Below are 25103 nucleotides of genomic sequence, written 5' to 3'. Positions count from 1 at the left end.
AAAAACAAAACTCAGGCAATTCGTACATTTACCTTTCATATTCTCTTCCGTCCTCCTGATTTTTTAAGTATGTTCTGAGGTTTATGTCTTATTGTAGCCTTGGACAGGCGTCAAACATTCCCATGCCTTTCAATCTTCATCTGTTAATAATATTGCTATCCTCGCAGCATTATTGAGAAGAGTAAATGAGTTTATCCTGTGAAGTGCTCAGAACAGAACACATCATAAGTACCATATTCGTGTTAGCTATTGTTATTATTACAGCTACTCTAATGACACTATGCTTTTTCTACAGCATGAAGTTTTTCTTTTAGGAATGATGACCTTAACTTATTTAGACCCAGGCTGTTCTGTATGCTATGTACTACTGGGCACTTAACATGTTAACTACTTAACAAGAGGTTCTCTGACTATAAAATACACAGTAGATTTTGAAGATTTAGTACAAAAAAAAAGAATATGAAATATCTCATCAGTAAAGTTTTAGATCTGTGATGTTAGTCTGTGCCGTCTCTCTATTGTAGAGACACAGTTCTATTGAGTGGGGGCTTATTCTGTTCCACGTGCTGTGCCCTTTGCATGTAGATCCAATTCCAGGTGAGCTGTTTTGCCAGACTGTAGCTATTGTGTTGGCCGGTGATTAGACTGTAGGCAAAGATGAATAGCATGCAGTCTCTAAAGTTGTGGATGTTAAAGGAAGAGAGAGAGTTATCTATTGCACTGGGAAAAAAATGTGATGGAGACTAGGTGGTCTTGAATGTAGGAGTTGGGTCTATGACATCCTTATCCCCAAGTCATCTAAGAGTTGGGTCGGTGGCGTCCTGATCTCCCACTATTTTCTGGAGGTTCAGTTTCTGTGGTGTCCTGAGAAGTATCTTCAGAAGCTTCCATGGAGCTTGATTCAATATAACTTGGAACACATTTTAAGTACATCATTTTATACATTAAATCCTTTTGTGTTTAACCAGTGGCTTTAAGCTGGGGGCAATTTTGCTCCCACCGCGTGGGTATTTGGTAAATCTGGAGACGTTTTGGTTGTTACAACTGGGAGAATCCTACTGGAATCTATTGGGTAGAAGCCAGGGGTGCTGCTGAACATCTCGCAGCACAATCCCCACAAGTGAGAATCACTTAGCTATAGCACTGATCATGCTGAGGCTGAAGATCTCCTTCAGTCATTTCGGGAGTACTCACCCTAATGAGATAAAGTGCTTTCTAGAGCAGCAGTAACAATGGTTAAAATGTGTTTCTATTGTAGTTATTCAAAAGACAGGTTAATAATTAGTGATATGAACAGGAGGCAAGGAAATACTGGGTAAAAGAGGGTGGTTCCCCAGCATAGGCCCCATCCTCAAGCCTGCAATCACGCAGCCCTAACTAGAAACAGGCATTCCTGTTTTCACGCCCAAATGTTGCCTTTTCCAAGACCACTCTGGCCCACCACACCCCTATCCTGTACCCATATAAACCCCAAGCTCCACAGCAGAGGAACAGAAGAGCAGCAGAGCAGCAGAGAAGAGATGGAGTGTCTAAACATCGAGAGGAGTTCTACTGGTGACAGTCAGAGCGGACATCAGCCATGGGATGGCTGAACTCCAGGGGAAGATCATCTTCCCTCTGTATACCCTTTCCAGTTTCCCATCTATCCTACTGAGAGCCACCTCAATCACTCGATAAAATCCCTGCATTCACCATTTTTCAAGTCCGTGTGACCTGATTCTTCCCAGACACTGGACAAGGACCTGGGTAACAAGAGGGCAGGGTGTAAAAGGCTGTTACCCTGACTCTCCACTGTGCTGGTTTAACACTTATCCATCTGTGGACAGGAACTGCTAAAAGAGCATTAAATTGTAACACACCCCTGGATGCTACCACAGCCTTGGAGCCCAAAAGTGCTCTCCCTGGCTCCTGCACCTGCCTGTCTGCATGCTCCCCCTCCCCTAATGGGTTTGAGCATGCTGCACCCCTGTCACAAATCCCACGAGGGCATTAGGGAATTCTCCTGTTTCATTAGAAAATGGGAAGTTTTGTTTTTTCTTTTTTCCCCAATTGTCAGGACTGGCAGATTTCTGTGGATTACGGCCTTGCACTTCTGATTTTAGTTTGCCTAGAAAGAGCACCAGAGGGTTTTTAATATACGAAGATTAAAAATTAAGCAGTAAAAGGACTTCCCTATGGGACAGCAGGGTGTCTGAGTCCTCTGTTTTAGACACAGGAGACAGAAAATTACATGATAAACAGTCTACTGGAATTGGAGCATATTGGTTAAATATGCAGATGCTTCAACGTGGAGGGAGATTTGTTGCAGCTGAGGTATGATTCTGAGACAGTTTATGAGACATGGCACAGTCATCTGAAAGGTTAAAGAGCAACAAGGTCAGGATCAATCCCTACTGAAGCCTGGAAATACAAAGATTAATTCTTTGCTTGCTGAAATACCTTCTCTTTCCTTTTTTTTTTTCTTGGTAATTTTATTATGGTATTTTAAGCACACAGAAAAGTATACTGGATAACGATAAATATGAAAATATATTTTTTCAAAAGTTCTTTCATCTATTTTTCCTCACTTCTAAGGGTTTAGTGAGAGGGAAAAATTGTGCTCAGACCTCAGATTCCCATCTTGAAACTTGAACAGTGTCATGACATATGTCCTTCTTAGCTCATCTATGTATTTTTTTTCACATAAAATACTTTTTAAATTGTAATCCCTCTTTCTGCAAAAAAAGAACAATGACATATTTGAGGTTATATTTTCACAACCAGGTATATTATCTTATTCTGCTCATGGCACAAAGCCTTCTCCATGCAATGTTCTGTAGTAATGCTTGCTAGAAAATACTGCTTACACGAAGTGTGTTAAAATGCCTTAGTTGACTGATTCTTCATTTGAACAATTTTGATATAACCCCAGTAAACAGTCTGTTTAAAAATGCCTTAGTTGACTGATTCTTCACTTGAACAATTTGTGTACAACCCCAGTAAATGGTCTGTCATTTGCAGCCCAGGAACTACATGAATGGCGTCTTGCTGACGTGTTAATCAGAACTAACTATATCCCTGTTCATGCCCCAATATATCAAGTTCTTGTCTATAAGATCATGCATCATTGCAGAATTTCATATTCAGCTTTCTCAAGCCTCTTTTCTTTTCATCAATATCACAGGAGATTTTGTGTGTATAATGTAACTGTTGAAATCAGAATACTGTATTTTTGAAACTAAGTATTTTTTACTTTGTTAAAATCATATTTACATAAGGCAATGTCATTATTTTTATTTCACATCAAATCATAAGAGCAACCCAAAAGCACATCTATCTTTCATTAAAACTACTTTCAAATAAACGTTTTGTCAAATTGAAAAATAAATAATACACATATGCCTGAATCAGACTGCCCGTGTGTGCATATTTATTCAATAAAATTCATGAGAAAGCATACAATATATCAGGAATCATATCAGACTTGTTTACAAAAATTCTGTGAGTGGATTTCTAAGATCAAACTCAGTGTTCCTTGAATCAGTGGGATGTTGCATATATTATTTATCAGTTAATTCCTGAGAACAATCATAAAGGCTTGATCTTACAGCCTTCCCAGCCCAGCTTAATTCCTACTGGTTTCCAAGCAAGTGGTAGGCACTTAAGTGCCACATGACTGAGCTGTGATTAATTAGGAAATAAAACATGCTGCATTCTCTACAAGCTGAGCAGAGGATGTAAGTGACTTCGATGTCCTGGAAACTTCGCCTTTGACTTTGTGTTCTGATGTCAAGATATCTGTTTGATTTTACCAGTTTAACCAATTTCACTTTTCTTTTTAAAAAACTAAGTGAGGAGTTGGAGTGAATTCTTCAACCTGTAAGGTTCCTTGTGTATGCAAGACAATTGGACAAGGTATAATTTCAATGTCAATGATGTCTATATTTAAAATTGTCTTACCAAACACAGGGAACATAAATACAGAGTATTTGTAATTGGCTGTCTTGATCAAGGGTATGCCAAGAGATAATTGTTTATTGTTTCTGCTGCTTCTAAAAAGCAGAAAAGAAAATCACACTGAATCCTTAAGCATCAACTTATTAGAATAAATACAACTTCAGGCTCTTCTTCTCCATGTAGTTTTAAGTGCTTATTTGAATAACCTGATGGCCAGTTCTTTATATGACAGACAGATAGTTTCTTAAAGATACCCATTCAAAAAAATTAGCAAAACAAAACATGGGTATTAGGATTTGTAACATTTAAAATGTAAAGTGGCTTGGAAGATATTTGAAGAAAGACTTGCATAAAACAATACCACTCAGATCAAACTGTGAAATAAACTGTAGCTTTATTGATGATTGTGCCTCTTCCGATGGGCCATGCATCACTGTTTTCCTGGTTATGTTTCCAATGTTGCTAGAAATGCACTGGCAGTGAAAGCCCTCCAGGGCAGTGTAGGCTCACTTGTGGAGTGGAGTTATGATGGGAAACTGTCACCTGCAAGTCCTGCAATTATTTTTTCTCTCTTTTTACCATCCACAGAAGATGCTAGGGGTGTTCCTGTTATAGCTCCTTGGGACATATTCAATTTCAGCGGCAGCTTTGGTGGCCATTTCCAGCTCACCTCCCACTGAAAGTATCCCACCTAAAGTGTGCCCCTGTAGTGTCTGTAAATCAAGCTCTAGGGCTGACCTGTGAGTCTCCTGGGCCCGTAGGCAAACACAGCTGGCAAGTACAGGAGTGAGGTGAGAAGGGCTTAATGCTCCATGAGCAAATTCAACGCAGGGGAGGCGGGAGCCAGGGGATTAATGCTCAGTCTCCTGTCTATTGGTTAGACAGTATAGAGAAGCATAGTTTATGCTTCCCAGAGATCCTGAAGCAATTCATCTGCTTTTCTCACAACATCACAGGCAATTCATTCCTATGTTGGGCTGTCTTTTCTTCCCCACTTTGTTCTGTCTGTCTCCTGTTTCCCAGCTTTCCCTTCCGAATAAACCATCTGCCTCAAAGCTCTTGCTGAAATTCTGATTCGGAGGGAACCCAGACTTAGATTCCATCTCAAGATATAAGTATCATCATCAGCTGTCAGTAGTAATAATTCCATGTGAAAGAAGAGTGATAGATTCCTGATAAGGCAGAGACTTACAGATGGAGCAGTTAGAAGCTAAGAAGGATCTCAAGAAAGTATCATGGAAATTATATATGATCATATATGATATATATGATCATATATGATATATATGATCATATATGATATATATGATCATATATGATAATTTTCTTTATAGAAAATGCTTTTTTGTATAATAACAACAATGGTTGTGCTATGATTATTGCTAACCTAAATTAAATGTTTTTATTTATTTATTTATTTTGAGATGGAGTCTCGCTCTGTCACCCAGGCTGGAGTGCAGTGGCACGATCTCGGCTCACTGCAAGCTCCACCTCCCAGGTTCATGCCATTCTTCTGCCTCAGCCTCCTGAGTAGCTGGGACTACAGGCGCCTGCCACTGCGCCCAGCTAATCTTTTGTATTTTTAGTAGAGATGGGGTTTCACTGTGTTAGCCAGGATGGTCTCGATCTCCTGACCTCGTGATCCGCCCGCCTCGGCCTCCCAAAGTGCTGGGATTACAGGCGTCAGCCACCATGCCCGGCCAAATATTTTTATTTTCTAGACACTGTGCTAAACACTTAAGATGCTGAGTGTTGATTGATTGCAAAATAGCTGCAATAATTGCCCAACCTCTATCTGCATCTTGGGTAGACCCCTCCCATACTGATTCTGGGATTGGTCATGTACTTTACTTTGGCAAATGAGACGATAGGAAATGTGATGTAAGTAGAGGCTTGAAAGGTGCTTTGCACATCTGGGCTTGCTCTCTCCCACTGCCCTTGGACCCCAGCACCACCAAGAGAATGAGCCTGAAATCTTTTGCTAGAGAAGCCCTGTGGAGGAGAACCAGGGTATCTGAGCCAATAGCCTGCCAATTATTGGACATGTCAGCGAGACCATCTCAGATGAACTGACAGTGATGTGTGAGAAATAATAAATGTTTATTGTTTTAAGGCACCAAAAGTGGGGTGATCTGTTATTCATCAAAAGCTAACCAATACAGATGTCCTACTTCCTTTAATCTGTGCAATGCTTCTATAAGGATATTATCACTCCCATTTTACGGGTGAAAAATTGGGCCTTGAGAGTTTATTTCCTCTAAAGTCTCATAGCTAGTAAATGGCAGAGCAATTTAAAAACCAGATTTGCTTGATCCTAAAGCAAAATGTCTTCCTAACATTGGCATATGGATCACATGTTTTTAATGAAGCCACTGATTCATTCATTCATTCCAAAAACTTTTTTAGGACCTACATTGTGTTGGGTACTGTGTCAGATACTGGTAATATACAAATGAATAAGACACAGTTTCTGCCTTCAAAATAAGCTCAGAGTTAAGGCAGCAGGCATGCACAAATAAAGACAACACAATGCAATAACATAGATATTTCAAAGTTGTAATAGGGACAGACTGATGATATTGGGAATTAGCACATGTGGGGACTTCTGGGTAGAGAATCTAATACTATATTGAAATTTTGATGTTCCAAATTTACTTTGAGTAAATTACTAAAAATTACTTTGAATAATTTTGAAAAGTATTTCTTTGCCACACTGTTCTGTTAAGCATTTCAGATTTATGTCTGAGGCCTAAAAATAAAAATGATCTAAACTCTTTGCACTAAATCTTATTCCACCTATGTCCACTAATAATGCTCCTTTCTATACTCAACTATATATTCATATTTTATATATTAATTGCATATCAAATTCTTAGTCCTTCAAGTGCATTCAGTTCCTGACTTAATACCACTGAGATTGAAAACAGTCTCTCTGTTAGAACTATTTTCTCAGCCCTGATCAGCTCAGTTCCCACAGCCATGTATAGTAACAGCCATGGGGGTTATCGTAACAGAAGCTTGAAGTGTTTAGAGAACACAAGAGTGTCTAATTTCTCATAGAATATCATACAACCTTTAAAAAGAATAGGGAAGATATTTAAGATTGCAACATAAAAAACATTGCTGAGTGAAAACACTGGAGGAGTTATACTGAAACATTAATCAAATAGTATATTTCATATATATATGCCCACACACATACACATGCATCCTCACGTACCTGGATTTGAATCTAACCTATTCTTTTAACTGCTCTGCTGAACAGTGTTTGTTAGCCCTCACTACACTTTTTCTTACCTTTCTTGGGGGCACTGCCCTAAGACAATTAGATATGTGCTTACTTTAATCAGTCTACTAAACTGTAAAATTCTTGAGTTCCTATCTGCTAGATAAAATCGTACATTAATGAGGGCCTGGAAGGGACTGATTAGGAAGTGAGGGGAGGTGCACAAAGTCCGGTGAGACAGGCTGACCAAGGTAAGATTCGCTTCTGACCCGTTTGTTAAAATGCCTGTGGTGTCTGCTTTTCACCTAGGAAGGGAGGAATTAGAATATTCTCTTATGGCCTAAATGTCTGCCTTGCTTCATAACTACTAAGATTGTTAGTCTTGAAGTTTTTGAGGGGCAGTTTGAAATTTAACCACCAGATATGACGGTGGAAAACCCATCTGGGGTTGTAATAAGCCAACTTTTGAAATAAAACCTAACCTAATGCTGGGTGCTACTTGTCCTTACCTTATTACACCTTATTAAAAAGGTTTAATCTCTTTTAACAACAGCTTATTCACATGACAGGTTCTATATCTACAAATCTATTTTTAACTCTATGTAGTTCTATCTCTACATGTAATGGTAGTTTTAAAGAGCGAATTTTTCTCATTTTAACAGTGTTTTTCTAGAATAAGTCAGACTATCTCTGCTACAGTTTATCTTTTTCTGCCAAATTTCTTCTAGAATATCAATTTATTATGTGAGCACCCATTCCAGGACGGCTGGGCCCTGCTTGTGTCAAATGAATACATAGATGTGATCCCTACCCACGTGGAGCTCTGTTCTAGGCTAACAACATATAAAGTATTACACTTAAAGAGGATGGCAGCCATGAAAAAATAAAGCCTGGGCCTGGTTAATGAGCGATGACCCCTCAGGGAAATGTCCTTTGAAAACAGTCCTGAAAGATGAGAGAGTCCCCAATAAAAGGATACCACGAAGTTAACTTCAGGCAAAGGGGACAGCATGTGGGGAGAACCTGAGGGACAAGAAAGGACCTGTTCTAATCTTGGGGCAGAGAAGACTCTCAGTATGACTAGAGCAGGGGCCAGCACACTTTTTATTTGAAAATACAGGTACCAGATGTTCTAGTATCTGTGGGCTATGAGGTCTCTGTTACAAATACTTGACTCTGTAGCAGTAGCATAAAAGCAGTCATGAGCAATATTTAAATGAATGGAGGTGGCTATGTTCCAATAAAACTTTATTTACAAGAATAGGTAGTGACTGGATTTGGTCATAGTCTTCCAATCCCTAGACAAGAATGAAAGGAATAAAAGGTATTGTGGTTCAACATGGGGACACTGAGGAGAGACACTGCCAGCACATGTAGGGTCTTGAATTGGAATCTCCTTGGTGGAATGTCCCTAATCAGGCCATCCTAGGATGGAATATTTCCTGCTCCTTGCTGGCTTAACAACCTTGATTTTCATATTATCAAGGAGATAGCTGGGCCCACCCGTTAGGGCAGTTATAAGGATTAAATGAAACAAGATGTATGCCTATAGAATAGACATATTCAACAAATTCCGTAAATCTCAATTCCCTTGTATCCAGTGTGAAGTGTCTGCTTTGTCTTGAAATACAGGAAATGAGTCTTATGCTTTCAGCGGGCCTTGGCTGCTTTACACAGCAGTCACTCTGTCTTGGAGATGGCTCTGCAACTCACTTGGGCCCTGTGGACTTCTTTATGGATTAGCAGAACGCTCTGGTTGCATATGTAACCTTTTTCTTTACCTCTAGAGAAATGATGTGAAAGTTTGTTTTAATTGCACCGCCCAGGTTTAATTTAATAACTCTTCCTATGTTAATTTAGTGATTTGATAAAAGCTGAATTTTGTCTTTAAGTGAGAGCAAAGGGCATTTTACATCCTATGTCAGGAGGGGGGCGAACATTATTGTTTGTAATTGGCAAGAATGAGGAAAAACATCCTACCCATTAATGAAATTACAAGGTTACTCCTGTTTCAATTTTGCCCCTCTCCCACCGTAGAATAGCTGAATACAATATGAAGGGTTTTTAAAATATAAGATGGAGAAAATGGTTTTTTAAGATACATACTATATATGCTATATATTACATATATAGTGCATCATACTATATATTATATATAATATATATACTATATATAGTATATACTATATGTATAATATATAGTATATATAGTGTGTATATTTTATATAGTATATATACTGTATATTTTATATAGTATATATAGTATGTATATTACATATAGTATATATACTATATGTATACTATATATAGTATATATATACAATATATTTATATATTTTAAAATTTTCTAATAGGACAGCTCAACTTATGTGTGTCTCTGTGTATGTGTGTGTGTGTTTACCTACAGTTGCATGAGTGCATGTGTTTTGAATGTAACTATCATTACATTACTAAAATGAAAAAATATAAAAGAATTTTACCACGTGTTTATTAGTAACCTACTTAAATAACTGCAGGCAGACTCCAGAATTTTATTTCTAATTGTATTCCCTAAATGACAGAGTTGAAGACCATGTATATACAAGAAGCGAGAGTAGAGACCTGCTACTAAGGCCAGTGGGAAAGCGAAAGCACTTGGTGAGTTGCCCAGTGTCTCACAAATGCACCCAGTGTCCAACAGGTATGAGATGCAGAAATGGCCTTTGTTCTTCACGTTGCACAAGCTGCTACAGTTTTTTGTTTTTGTCTTTAATTTTTTTTATTATACTTTAAGTTCTGAGATACATGTGCAGAACATGCAGGTTTGTTACATAGGTATACATGTGCCATGGCAGTTTGCTGCACCCATCAACCCATCATCTACATTAGGTATTTTTCCTAATGCTATCTCTCCCCCAGCCCCCTACCCCAGCTCAGGCCCCGGTGTGTGATGTTCCCTTCCCTGTGTCCCTGTGTTCTCATTGGTCAGCTCCCACTTATGAGTGAGAACATGTGGTGTTTGGTTTTCTGTTCTTGTCTTGGCTTGCTGAGAATGATGGCCTCCAGCTTCAAGCTGCTAGAGTTCTTAGAGCTGTTTCTTATTGAAATTTATTGTTAGGATGAAACCTGGGACTGCACATGTGAGGAGAAGATAAATATTTAGAAAGGGATCAGAGTCATTCTGGATTGAAATCCAAACAAGCATTGACTTATTTTTTCTTGTAGGATTATTTAAAAAGATTTGCACACGTGCATACAAAGCTTATTCAACCCATTCGTAAAAGTATCACTTGGGGTTCTTTTTAGAAATAAAGATTTCAGGGCCTTATGCCCTAAGATTCTAATTTAGTCCATCCAAGGCAGGGCCTGAAAACCCAAATTTATATTAAGTACTCTGGATGATTTTCATAAAGGTGAGATATGTGTCATGCTTTGAGAAACCCTGCAAGTAATAAGTTGACTTGAAAAATAGCATTATGAAAGCCAACTTATTTACAGTCTCTTTTTTGCCTAATGATCAGAATATTTCAATATGCACCCATAATATGCCAACCTTGAATTTTCAAGAGATAGGCCCAAGTCATCTTTTTCACAAATACAAAGGATCTTTTTTTAGCATTAATTGGCCAAGAAGGAGGGGGAGTCCACATGGCTGCCTTGGTGTAATTGCAACCCACTGTTGGCTTCTTTACCTCAAAACAGGTGTGGAAGTCATGAATCACCCCTCCTGGTTACTTCTGGCATTTTGCAACTGATTGTTTTAGAGGCCAAACTGTTTTGTGAAAAATTTAACTTGTCATTCTGTCAGAAAGCTTTTAGGAAGATATTTGACATTTAATTTTTTTAAGTCAATAATCTAGGTGATTCAACGCACATTTCTTTGGCTATTTTAAACATGCGTGTTCTGCAAGGAAACAATTTTCAATGAAGATTTAGCAAATATCTAGACATATAATCCCCAAAAGTCTGGTTTCAAATGCAATAGTTGTATGGGTGCTGGAGATTTTGTCTATCAAGAACTAATTTGAGAAACTATATTTTGCCAGGGAAATAGAAAAGATCATTTTGATTTTTCTACAGAAAATGCTCATGCCTGGAACTATACATGCATTTTATTGACTATGAGGAAATAAAATATATTGCTTGAAAAATTCTAGAGTGAGAATGGAAATAATAAAACTAAAAGCTACCATTATTGCAATGGTATTGCAATTATCATTTCTGTGAGCTGAGCCCTGTGATCAATGTCCTACATGTATTAACTGGTTTAATCCTTGGCAGATCTCATTATAATTATTTGTGGAGGTAGAAACTCAGTCTTAGAATGTTAAATACAACCATATACGTGGAGTCTAGCTCCCAAACTCACCCTAATTATGATACTACACTGACTCAGTGTTTGCTTTTGCCTGGCTTCCTTACTGCTTACAAACCACACAAATTTACGTAAGTCAAACCTCCCTGAATTACAATTTCCATCTCCACATTTAAAAAAGGAACACAATAAACCATTTTAGTGATTATTTTAGAGTGAATGCTATTAGAAAATGTAAGTGCTTCCTGAAGTTCTATATACATCTAAACTACTAAGAAAAATACCAAAATAATCATGATATTGTCATATTAATATGGGAGCATCCAGCATCAACTCCTGCTTTGAGTCTGCTGATCCACTTGATATTCAACCACAGTTACACAAAAACCTGGCTTAATTGGAGGTAGCTGGTGGTGCAGGCAATGGGGATTTTCAAAGGTCAATGACATGATCCCAAGCTGGTCATTGATATGAATGACTTGGACAGTTGGAGGTAACTTCCTTTGCTTTGTCTTCTCACCCAGGACTTTTGTTTCACATTTGTATGCAAGTATTTATAATCAAATTTACAGCTTCATGTAAAAACAGGGACAATGGTCACTCTCATACAGGTAACAAGAAACTTAATTTTGACTGTAACTTCCATTTTTCTTAAGAACATAGTAGATGAAGCTGATTTTTTAAGACTAAATTGAAAAGAGACTGTTTCTAATTTCCCAGAGGTGCTGAATCAAGGTGCTCTGTACCTAGGCTTTGAATTTTCTGTAGCTGTTGTTTACATGCTTGTTTCCATTCTGAGCGTTGCTCTGCATGTTGAGGAGAACTCAGCTATTCAGAACACAGGATTGATTTCCCTTTGGCCAAGTACAAATTTTTTGTTTGTTTGTTTTGCAAGAAAGTGATTATTTTCTAAAAGCATTAGATTGGGCAATTAGAACCACAGTCAACTAGCCAGATGTGTGGGCTTCACATACATCAATTTGTAAAGGCTTCATCTTGCATGTATTGCAAGAGAATCGAAAGCAATGTAAAAGAGAACATTTGAATCTACCCTTTCTTGAGACCCCCAAAAATGCTGCTGGGTGAAGGGAAGAAAGCAAATAGTAATATTCACTGATAACTTCCTAAATTCCAGAAGCTGTTCCAATCAGTTAGGGATTTGTTCAATAATCAGGTTGAATATTTGCTGAACACTTACACATGCCAAACAAATTCTAGGCATTATCTATGATCCTCCCAACAACCCCATGAAGTGAGTATTCTTTTTTATCTCTACTTTACAAATGAAGAAAAGGGACTGGAGCCCAGAGAGGTTAACTAACTTATCCAAGTCAAGAAAAGTCACAGAGCTGTGATCTGAATCCACTCAGCCTGGTGCTGGGGCTGTTGTATGCTATCGCCATTTATTTATATACCAGAAGCCTGCTAGAGTGACGGAGACAGGAAAACACAAAGTTGAAAGGCATTTAACAGAAATTATTAACAGACATTTTAAATTAATCAACGACAAATTTTCATATTGCAATTTTAGAAACACTCAACACAATTGTTAAAAAACAACTTAACACAATTGTTAAAGAGAAAAAAAAACTGAAAATGTCAGGGCCAGGTCAGACAAAATTGTCTCATTTTCTTATAAGTTTGTAATGGATATCTGTTTTGCTATTATCCTTCTTTTTGTAATAGCACCCTGAGCCTATTGGAGGAAACATTAGTTCTCTATTATCAATCCACATGGTTTGAATGGAGACCTAGGCCTGGCTAATCAGAGTAATTTTATCTTTCTGAATGATGCAATTGGTCCAGGGTGGGCACATGATCCAAGTCATTCAGTCACAGTGAATCATTTGGATATGGTTTGTCTTCACCAAAACTCATGTTGACATTTGATCCCCAGTGTGGCCATGTTGAGAGGTGGAACCTAGTGGGAGGCAGTTTGGGTCATGGGGGTGCATCCCCCATGAATAGATCAAAGCCCTTTCTTGTGGGGTAAGGGAGTTCTTGCTCTGGCAGGGATGGATTAGTTCCCATGAGAGTGAGCTGTTAAAAAGTGTCTGGCCTTCCTGGTTTCTCTCTCGCTTTCTCTTTCCCCAGGTGATCTCTTTACGCATACCTGCTCCCCTTCCACTTTCCACCATGACTGGAAGCACCATGAGGCCCTCACCAGATGGAGCTGCTCAATCTTAAACTTTTCAGCCACCAGAATTATAAGCCAAATAAACTTCTTTTCTTTATAAATTACCCAGCCTCAGGCATTCTGTTATGGCAACACAAGATGGACAAAGACAATGCTAGAACTACTAGAAAGTGAGTTTTCTCTTTTGCCCTGGACTGACCAGACACCACCACTTGGAGCCTGAAACTAAAGCTGATGGAGTAGAAGGCAGAGCTGATAGAGAGAAACAGATTTGCGATAATAGCATTTCTACCTTGTCTTTTCTACTGTAAGCATATTTTTACCTGTAAGTCCAGTCTTATAGCAGTCTTACTTGTGGACTCTAACATCACGTTATAGATTCATGTTTTGGCTTAAACCAGGTTGAATTGGGTTTGTCACTTACAATTGGAGGAGTCTGGTTTATTATTGCATCTACCCCAACCAAACTGGGAGGGACAGTGGAGGCACAAAATGAACTGTGAACTTCCAATCTGCATACTTGTGTTTGACTCTCTTCTCCATCATTTTTTGGCTACATGACCTGGGGCCAATCTCTTAATCACTCAGCATGTCAGTTCCCATTTCTATAAAACATGAAAGTAAAATTCATTTCCCTAATGCTGAAGGTGGTATAAGGACCAAATGATTACAGAAAAGCACTTTGAGAACAGCAAAGAACAGATGTCAGGATTCTCATCTACAACCTAGACCAATAAGAATTGGAAGATATTCATAATGTCTCTCAAAGCATTTCTTAATTGAGATGCTGGAGTATTGCAGGTTACCTCAAGTGCTGAATCTGGCCCTACGGGTTCCAGAAAAATAGGAAAACAATGATGATGCTTATCTTATTGAGATAAACTAGCATTTCCTGTTTCCATTATTCAATTACAGGAAGCATAACATTTATTTGCAAATGCAATTAGAAAGCTTAAAATCTAAGCCTCAAAATTGTGCTCTATGAAAATGAATGTCAATCTTTATGTAGAGGAAGAAAGAACTAAGAAAAAATTTTCCTACTCATTGATGAGTAATTATGTTCCAGATCATTTTGAGAAATGACACCTGTGTGGTTTGAAACAACACAAAAATAACACACAACCTGCACTGAAATCAAAGTGTGGCAAGTCAACTTAAATATTTTTCAAATGCAAAACAATCCACTGCCACTCATTAAATTGTTCTTGTTTGAAGAGAGAATAGAGTGCATTTTTAATAGACCATTATTCAGCTTACTAACTAGAGAAATATTACAGATGATGTTCAGCAGAGTTCATTTAAAATTTAACACCCATATATATACACGCATATATATGAATTACATATTACATGGTGCTATTATATATTACATGGTGCTATTCACATATATATTCATATATATGAATTATATATTACATGGTGCATCTTACATGGTACTATTCCTATATATATGAAAGTCCTCATATATATTTATATCTATATATATGAAAGTCCTCATATATATTTAAATCTATATATATGAAAGTCCTCATATATATTTATATATATATGGAAGTCCATATATATATCTCTCTCTATATATATAGATATGTGTGTATATATATCTGTATATATATATCTATATATATATAGAGAGAGATATATATATATATGAGAAAGTCCTCATGAAATGGCTATCCATGGTAGATATATATGTGTAGTTGTTAACTGGTAAGTTCCTAAGTAGATTTGTATATCCCGGCCCATATCCACTGAGTCCCAAAGTAGATTTGCCATCTGAAGTGAATTTGTGGGTATAATAATTGAACAGACGCAGATGTACTACCTTTTACACCACCCACAGCCATCAGAATGCTGTCTAGAGCTTAACTTCACCTCCTGACTCCCCCAAGATAATCCTTACCATTTTAAGTCCCCCAGGGCTAAATCCAAGGTTTAAAGATATTATATTATTAAATTAGAAAAAAATGAAAGAAGATTGCTTACTGAACATCTTCATACACTTCAACTGTGAATCATCCCAGTCTCTGGCTCCATTATCTCTTATCTGGACATTTCGAGTAACCTTCGTGCTCTGTTTCTATACTGGAAAATCTAATCTCATATTATTGAAAATAATATATTTTAAATAAACCAGATAATCACATTTTCTAGGCTTAAAACTCTAGGATGACTTCCCATTTCATATATACAATGTCATTATCAGGGTATATAAGACTTCATCTGCACCCTACCTGGAACCAACCTCTCTGTTTGGTTACATGGTGCTATTCCTATTGATCCCACCTCAGGAGCTTTGCATTTAATCTTCTTCTTGCTTCAAAAACTGTCCCCAAATATATCAATGTTGCCTTTTCCCTCAATGCATTTAGACCTCTATCCAAATGTTACCTCATCAGAAAAAGCAGAACACCATATTTACTTGACAGCCTTTTACCCAGTTTTATTCATTCATTCATTCATTTTTTTCAAAGTCAGACCTATTTGTTTGTTTGTTTTCTATGACTTTCCAGTAGAATATAAAAATCCACCAGAGTGGGTTTTGTTTTGTTCTCTATTAGGGCACTATGTGTCAAATGTAGTAGGGCACTTAATAAATATTTGTTGGATGAATTAATGTTATTATATAGGTAAATTCAATTTAGTCTCATCAAAGAGTAAAAGGTCAGTTAATTTAGTAGGGTGATTTAAAAATATACATACTAGCATTATAGTATTCATTAAGGTCTTGCTTTTTGGTTTTTATAGATCTGGGTTAAAATTCTGGCTTTGCTGCCTATTAGCTGAGTGACCTTGAACATGTCACTTAAACAATCTCAGCTTTAGTACACTCAAGTAAAGAATGTAGAAATGGAAACTACCTCATAATAAATTTAAATGACATAAGCTATGTTTTATTCTAAACATTTAGGACATTGTCTAGAATAAAATATATGCATACTCATACACAGGTAAACACACACAATACTAGCTCTTTTGTTCTATGGTTAATTCCAGAAAACAACTATAAAACTAAAAAAGTACAAGGAAAAAAATTAAAATCACCTGGCTTTTTGTATCCAGAGATTGCCAACACATATTAATTTTCCCTTAAATATTTTACTTTTAAAAACTAACAAAACAGAGTCATGGTGAAGAACATATTTAAAGTATATATATTTTATCATGAAAGCTTTCTTTTTTTATGAACTATGTCTTTAAAACATGCTTCTAAATGGCTACATATAGTTCCAGCATAGTAATATGAAAAAGTAATTGATTTAAAGAAAAAAAGTATAAATGGGTGTCTTGTGTAACACATGCTTACTTTTATAAAGGTAAATATAGATTTCTGAAAGATAATAAATATTCCTAACCCTTCACTGAGTGATCATCTTTATTCATTTTTTTATAAACAGTTTTTTTTTTTTTTTTTCCCAAGAAAAATGTGATCAGGCCAGGCATGGTGGCTCACGCCTGTAATCCCAGCACTTTCGGAAGCCAAGCCAGGTGGATCTCCTGAGGTAAGGAGTTTGAGACCAGCCTGGCCAACATGGCGAAATCCCGTCTCTACTAAAATACAAAAAATTAGCCGGGCTTAGTGGTGGGTGCCTGTAATCCCAGCTACTCCAGAGGCTAAGGTGGGAGAATCGCTTGAACCCAGGAAACAGAGCTTGCAGTGAGCCTAGATAATGCCATTTCACTCCAGCCTAGGCAACAGAGCAAGACTCTGTCTCAAACAAAAAAAAAAAAAAGAAAAAGAAGAAAAGAAAAATGTGATCAGCGTATACACCCTTTTACAACCTGCTTTTCCCTCACATAAATAATCGTACTTTTGTAATACCACTTTTTACAGATGTCCAATGTTCCCTTGTGTGGATATACTATAACTTACTTTTTAATAATCTATGATTGAAGATTCAAGCATTGGAGCATAATGATTAAAAACAGACGCTTTGGAATCAGGGAAAAAAAAAAAGTCTTAAAATCATAGTTCCACTACTTTAACTTTGGTACCTTGCACAGTTTTCTTTACCTTTAGAATCATAGTTTCCTCAGCTGTAAAATGTTAGGCTCTGGGATAATTATTTCTGACTTATATACATATTTTGAATATTAAGGGAGAAAATGAGAAAATGAGAAAATGTGTGAAAAGCATTTAGCACTGTAAATGACACATTTAGTCCATGTGGTTGTCATTATTATTAATTTAATATTATATTCATTGTGATTATTCTTGGCTGAATATGTTTGGGTATGAGAGAATAAAAGAACACAACACACGTGGGACAGAAAATGCCTTCGCATGGAGTAAAGAATAACTAGCATGCCGGGCGCGGTGGCGCACGCCTGTAATCCCAGCACTTTGGGAGACCGAGATGGGTGGATCATGAGGTCAGGAGTTCGAGACCAGCCTGACCAATATGATGAAACTCTGTCTCTACTAAAAATACAAAAATTAGCCAGGCGTGGTGGTGCGTGCCTGTAATCCCAGCTACTCAGGAGCCTGAGGCAGGAGAATTGCTTGGAGCCGGGAGACGGAGGTTGCAGTGAGCTGAGATCATGCCATTGCACTCCAGCCTGGGCAACAGAGTGAGAGCGAGACTCCGTCTCAAAAACAAACAGACAAACAAAAACAAAAACAAAAACAAAAAAAAAGAATGACTAGCATGGTAAAATGTCTACTGAGCCCTTTGCCAAGGTTTTAAGGCACTAGAACAAGCCAGCCTTGCCTTTCTGAGCTGAGTCCTAGCTCCATGGGGCTACATCCTAAAGATTCTAGATTCTTGTAATCCCAATATCTTTCTCGTAATCCCCCAGCCCTAGACAGTGTGGTTGCACCTCCTGCTTTTTATGGGTGCATTTAACATGCCTGTATTGCTTCACTGTCCCCTTTAGATTTTCAATTTTCTCATACCCCTTAAGCAAATTCCTTGTATTAAATTCTGTGAAAACACCTTGTATGATTCTGTTTTTCTCACTGTACTCTGGCATCTACACCTTCTTCATGAAGGATAGGTCTCTGCCCACCCACAGGAATAGTGGTCTCAAACATCACAGCGACCAGTACAGCCAGGGATGTCCAAAATTATACTATTTTAATGCAATGCTTTCTGGAATTCCATCCTTAACTTTTCTTTTGTCTTATCTATATTTGTATCACATCCACATATTTATTTAATATTTTTAAATGAACTCATTTTTGATGAACGCAGTTATTTGATAAGAAGACGTCATATCACTCCGGCAAATAAATTTGCCACAGATGAAAGATACTCATTATCATGCATTCGGATAAAGATACGTCTTTAAAACTAAATGCTTCAAAATTATCTAATGCCTCATCATCTTGAGAGCAGGCATTATCTACTTTTCTCTAATGACTTATTGGTTGACATGGAAGAGTAGGTGGGGATGTCCTCTATGTAGTTATTCAGAGACCCCAGGTTCCTTCCACCTGGAATCACCATCATCTTCAACATGTGACCTCCATAGACTTGCAGAGTAAGAAGAGAAAAGAGAAAATTGTGCAAAGGGGAGACGTATGATTCAGTCCTGGAAGTGATGCTCACCATTTTGCCTATATTCTCTTGGCTGTAACTCAGTCACATTATAACAGTCTAACTACAATGAGGCTAGAAAATACAGTTCTGCTATATACTCAGGTTATGCTAAGTGCTTGAGAAGGTGACACACCCAGGTATAGGTAAGATTCGGAATTTTCTACTCAGCAGATGCATTCATCAAGGGGCCAAATTACTTACTACTAATTTATTCAGTCACATAATATTTCTCCAGTGACAATCTTGGTTCAGGCATGGTGCTGGTTTCTGGTGATAAATAATGGTGAGCTAAATGGACCTTCACTCCATAAAACAAAATGTCTCATGCTTCTGCTTTCAATCACAGCCCACTAACTACATGAATCAAACACTGTAGGAATCTTTTTATAGAACTCCTTCCCATTTGGGGTCAATAAAATTATCATTCCTAGAGATGTACAGCGTATATTATAATTCTCTTTGGAAAAAAAAAACCCATTAGTGGGAAAATCCTTGTAATGAACGAAATGAGATAAAATTTTTCTCATGTGAAATAAAAGTTAGAAAAAGAAAAAAAATCAATAGCAGTTTGAGATAATCTACATTAATATAGATTAATTGCCAACACAGCCTTCCTTAGCTGGAACCCTTTTCTCCATTTTATCTGGCTGACTGCATTCTATCCTTGAAGATTCAATTCAAGTAACACTCTTCTATGAATTCCTTGACACTTATTTCTCTAACCCGTTGCAGCCATACCCTAACTAGGCCTTTGGTTAGGTGTCTTCCAGTAGCTCCTTTGTCATGTCAGTCCTAGCATTGTGTTCAAATCACATTTTTTTTTTTTCTCAGTTAGAATGTAAGTGCCTTGGAGCATGGGTCTGTGTCTTGTCTTTATTTTTTTCTCAATGTTTGTGATCTAGATAGTGCTTAATTAATGTTTATTCAATAAATAGGTGATTGAAGAAATATAAAAAGTTTGTCATTAATATTGGATTCTTCCAGGTTATTATATGAATGGAGTGATTTTTAGTTTGGGGAGGTTGTGTGTTTTGAAACAGGTAGCATTTGGTTAGGCCCAGAGGAATTGGAAAAAAAGTTCTGGGAAAGGAATGTGGGATAAGCAAAAGAGCCTTAACCTAGGAAAATATAAAAAGAACTGGGATGGGTGCTTAGGAATGAAAAAGTCTGACTGGAAGAGTCTTCCCTTAGAGTTGTTGAGGACTTTAATTATGATGACTGAGATTTTTGGAGAACTAACAAAATGAAAGTTGCTATGTTGTAACAAGTTTGGATAATGCTTTAGTTTTTTCCCTGAGTTGCCCAAAGAATGGGTAACAGATACCATAATGAGTGTGAACTGCTTTATGGAGATTTTCAAAGGAAAGGATCCAAACCACTGCATACCTCTTGAACCCCTTATCCCATTTAGAAATTATAAAAAGGGTCAAAGATGATTAGAGAGATAATTTTGTGAAATAAACAATGATGAGGTCCTCAGCCAAGCTTAGTGATGGATGATCTAAGGAAAATTATAAAAAGGGTCAAGATAATTAGAGAGATAATTTTGTGAAATAAACAATGATGAGGTCCTCAGCCAAGCTTAGTGACGGGTGATCTAAGGAGAGCCGTGGAACTCCGGAATGGATTCCCTGTAGTTGGAAGATGGAGTTGATGGCTCTGCGTCATATTCTCGTAACTAGTCTTGTAACTCTTTCCCTGAATAAATCTTGACCATCTTGAAATCTTGACCATCACCTTCCTCTTAATAGGGAACAAAAGAAGATGACTCCCAGTGAGCATATTTTAAAAGGACAAGAGAAAACAAACAAAATTGAATTTTGATTATGGCCACATTTATACCTAACTGTTCCACACACTGGTTATGCATATAGTCGTACATTTATTCCTCACAATGACCAAATACACTGTTTGTTATTGTTGTCTCTGTTTAATGAACAAAGAAACTGAAGATGCAAGATGCTGATAACTTTCTCAAACAAGCACAATCAATGTAAGTGGAGTTGTTATTTGAACCAGGACTAAATGTGACAACACCAAGACCCAATACTGTTTTCATAGAGTAGCACCCAGTGAATAGTGACTATAGGCGTGGCACAGCTAGAATGTTGACAGTCTTGAACACCAGGTAAAAGGTAAGAACATTTTCTCCAGTGATTCGTCACATGGCCAAGCTTTTTGAACAGGCTGACAAAACTTCAGAATGCAGGTGGTGGAATGTAACCATCACTTACTTATTCAAGGAATATTTTAAGTGTATTGTGTAAGATATTAGAAATGAACATGAAGAAAATGAACAGATTTCCCGAAGGCAGGCAGCTTGCATTTGGGGAGGGAAGCTTCACTAGATATTACAGTTCAACCAAGTGCCATTTGCAGAATTTAATGTGCTGTGTATCAAGTATATTAGCTTATTTTAGGAAGTGTGAACAAAACTGTGAACCCGAAGATGAAGACTGATGCCAGTGGCTGACAGATTCTCACAAATGAAACGACATGCCAGAGAGGACAGAGACATTTTGTCTGTGTTTTAAATATTCCCTTCCTGTCAAATTCCTGCTGCTGTGCCTCCAATATCATGCACAACAGAAGAAAATAGGAAGAAATGAACACAGAAATATTAGTTTTGCTGCTTGGGTTCCATAAGGCATCAGAAAACATTCTCATTTTCCCACTAGCAATGCTGTTCACACAGCTGGGTCTGCAGGCAGCATTCATCAACAATTTGTCAGGGTATTATCTGATGTTTAATAACACCACCAAAAAATTTGCTTTTGGAAGAATAGGGGACTTAAATTCCAAAATATATATTATGAATAATTTCCAAGCTTCACCAAAACACAAAGGCACCCTGGTAAGTTACAATCCTGCTTTTATTTTATTTTTAATGGACTCCTAGAATTATAAAATCATGCCAAATTTGTGAGTTTTCATGTTGGAAAGTTTCAGAGTATCTCTCCCCGGAGCATTGTTAGCAAATAAAACAAATTTATGAGAATGTGGGGCAAAGTCACTGGAAGGTCACATCTATTAATTTGAATTCTTCCGCCAAACCAGCGCATTCTACACATATATCCCAAGACTAGGGACAATTGTGAGAATTTATTTGCATTGTTCTAATGATGTACATTCTATTTGGAAAATGAGTCACACATGGACTTTTCCATACATCTTGGCTGACTAGTTCACCATTTAGAAGATTCCTCTGTAGTTGCTGATGAATAGAGGCTGCTGTTTGTGGTGCTCAGTACTGCAGAGAGAAAAGCTTGGGCCTAGATAAACACACAGTATCTGCTTCCCTGGAAAAGTTTCTAAAAGAAGAGAAGATGCATTTACTACTCTGCACACAGCTTAAGATTTTCTACATTCTGTTAGAGTCAATTATTATTATTATTATTATACTTTAAGTTTTAGGGTACATGTGCACAATGTGCAGGTTAGTTACATATGTATACATGGGCCATGCTGGTGTGCTGCACCCATTAACTCGTCATTTAGCATTAGGTATATCTCCTCATGCTATCCCTCCCCCTCCCCCCACCCCACAACAGTTCCCAGAGTGTGATGTTCCCCTTCCTGTGTCCATGTGTTCTCACTGTTCAATTCCAACCTATGAGTGAGAACATGCGGTGTTTGTTTTTTTTGTCCTTGTGATAGTTTACTGAGAATGATGATTTCCAATTTCATCCGTGTCCCTACAGAGGACATGAACTCATCATTTTTTATGGCTGCATAGTATTCCATGGTGTATATGTGCCACATTTTCTTAATACCATTTGACCCAGCCATCCCATTACTGGGTATATACCCAAAGGACTATAAATCATGCTGCTATAAAGACACATGCACACGTATGTTTATTGCGGCACTATTCACAATAGCAAAGACTTGGAACCAATCCAAATGTCCAACAATGATAGACTGGATTAAGAGTCAATAATTATTTTAATTTGAGGGCAACTTCAGTTTTATGATGATGGGTCAGAAAAAGGATGCCCTAAGCAGCAGAGGGGACAATGCTTATGAAAGTATAGCAGAGCAGATTGAAACAACCTAACTCTTCTTGGCTTAGAACTCACAGAGCATGGAGCTCAACTTTTAGTTTCCACGGTAGAGTCAAACAGAGAATGGCCAAGAAATGGCAGCTGAAGTAGTTGATTGAATGAATGAATGTCCTCTGTTCTTCATTCTTCCACGCAACCACCCCTTTGCCATTGTTCATCCCCACCCTTTGACTTTGAGTTGGACTTTCTTTGGCCAGCGTCCCTTGATGAGTGTCAGCATGGTAGTTCTGAGCATTGCGCGCCTCTGCTTGCTGTCTTGCCTCTGCTACTGCCACAAGCAGTACATGCCCTGGCAAGACCATCTGTCCAAGAAGCATAAGTCACCCACACCTGAGTACACCCTGGCCCACTCTAGTTGTGACAGCCTGAATCACGCATGTCCAACAAAGTCCGGTCTGAAGACATGCCCCAGCTGACTTAAGTCTTATCCATATCAGTAAATTATTTTTGTTCTAAGGCAGTGAATTTAGTTGTGTGTGTGTGTGTGTGTGTGTAGCATTATTCCATCCATAACTGATATAATTTTAATTCATAATTCCCTTCATTTATGTTTCCACTTGGGGGCAAGGGAGCAATATATTTACACTCTGTAGAGCTTAAAGAAGGACTTAGGATTTTCTTTTGTTGAGGTGATAATATGCAAAACTTTCAAAAGTAGGAATTTAACACAATACTCCTTGAAAATCATGATTATCATCTTCACCCACTGCTTAGGAGATTTGACATGTTTTCTTTGCTATGGAAATAGGTTGGAATTAATCCCAAATCCTTCTCTAAGAGTTGTTGACTATCTGTGGGAGTTAAGGTCAGGTGAAAATGAGTGGCTGTGATTAACCAAAAGTTGTCAGTAAGAAAGAGCTTTACTTTTTATTTTCCTTTTGAAATCTCTGTGTGGTAGATGTACTTGACAGCAATAACCTAGCTTAAGCATACCCTGAGAATGACCCCATATGACAGACACACATGAATGTGTGTTCTGCGTTTTATGCTAAGGAATCTGAGGGTGGGCAACCCAGAGGTTTGTTTCTTATCTAGGAGGAACACTGGAGCCCTCTGCCCATCCCGTGGGATGTGGGCCATACAAGCCGTAGAGGCCCCGTGTTTTGGGTTAAAGGTTTCCAGGTGAAGGTTGTTAAGGGGAAGGTGCTAAGTTGCTATATAAACTGCATGTTTTTTGCAAGCGACTGTGGTTCTCCTGTCCAGCCCACTGCCACTGGACTGCCCTGTTTGTAAGCTTCCCACTAATAAAATCCTGTATCTCATTTCTTGGTTCTGGGTCTCTTCTTCGGCCTCCTGAACTTGGTGCCATCCCTTCTGAAGTTAACAGGGGTCCAGCACAACACTCTGCCATTGGGCTTTGAGATCTCCGAGGGCAAGCTATGCCATTTTTGCCTAATGCACTTCCTTGGCACTTACCAGAGCCCATTTTCTGATTATTCTCTCCAGGATGTTTTTTATAAGGAATTTGCTTTCTCCACATTGAGATACTACCTCATGTAAGTGGAATCATACCATATTTGTCCATTTGTGTCTGGCTGATTTTGTTTCTTTTTAGGAATGTTGCTTTCTCCACATTGAGATTCCATGTCCTATAAATGGAATCACACCATCTTTATCCTTTTGTGTCAGGCTTATTTCACTTACCATAGTGTCCTAAAGTTTCATTAATGTTGTAGCACGTGTCAGAATTCCCATTCTTTTTAAGGCTGAATAATATTTCATTGAAAGTACAATATACTGTTGGCTACCACTGGAAAATCCCAGAAAATAAAAATTACTGGTGAAAAGGTGGGACCTTTGAACACTATTGTTAGGAATGTAAAATTGTGTGGCCATGGCGGAAACAAGTGTAGTGGTTCCTCAAGGAATTAAAATTAGAACTACCGTATGATCCAGCAATTTC

General features: G+C 37.8%; 1 long non-coding RNA gene across 1 annotated transcript in view, besides 1 other annotated feature; it reads left to right on the top strand.

Moving 5' to 3' along the window:
- LOC105372676 (uncharacterized) overlaps window positions 1–14059 on the top strand; it is a 60004-nt gene extending 45945 nt beyond the window's left edge. Inside the window, exons 4-5 of the long non-coding RNA XR_001754682.1 lie at window positions 9724–9799; window positions 13551–14059. This is a non-coding gene — a long non-coding RNA (uncharacterized LOC105372676). The remainder of the gene's footprint in view (window positions 1–9723; window positions 9800–13550) is intronic.
- Window positions 12211–13410: an enhancer, noted in NCBI's record as "CDK7 strongly-dependent group 2 enhancer chr20:54153167-54154366 (GRCh37/hg19 assembly coordinates)". NCBI's record gives its function as "activates an origin of replication core promoter dependent on BRD2, BRD4, P300/CBP, MED14 and CDK7 cofactors, with strong dependence on CDK7, by STARR-seq in HCT116 cells {active_cell/tissue: HCT116}" and the evidence as "EXISTENCE:reporter gene assay evidence [ECO:0000049][PMID:35650434]".
- Window positions 14060–25103: the final 11044 nt, after the last annotated feature.

Source organism: Homo sapiens, chromosome 20, assembly GCF_000001405.40.
Source record: "Homo sapiens chromosome 20, GRCh38.p14 Primary Assembly".
NCBI lineage: Eukaryota > Metazoa > Chordata > Mammalia > Primates > Hominidae > Homo > Homo sapiens.
This window is presented reverse-complemented; position numbering and strand designations above follow the sequence as displayed.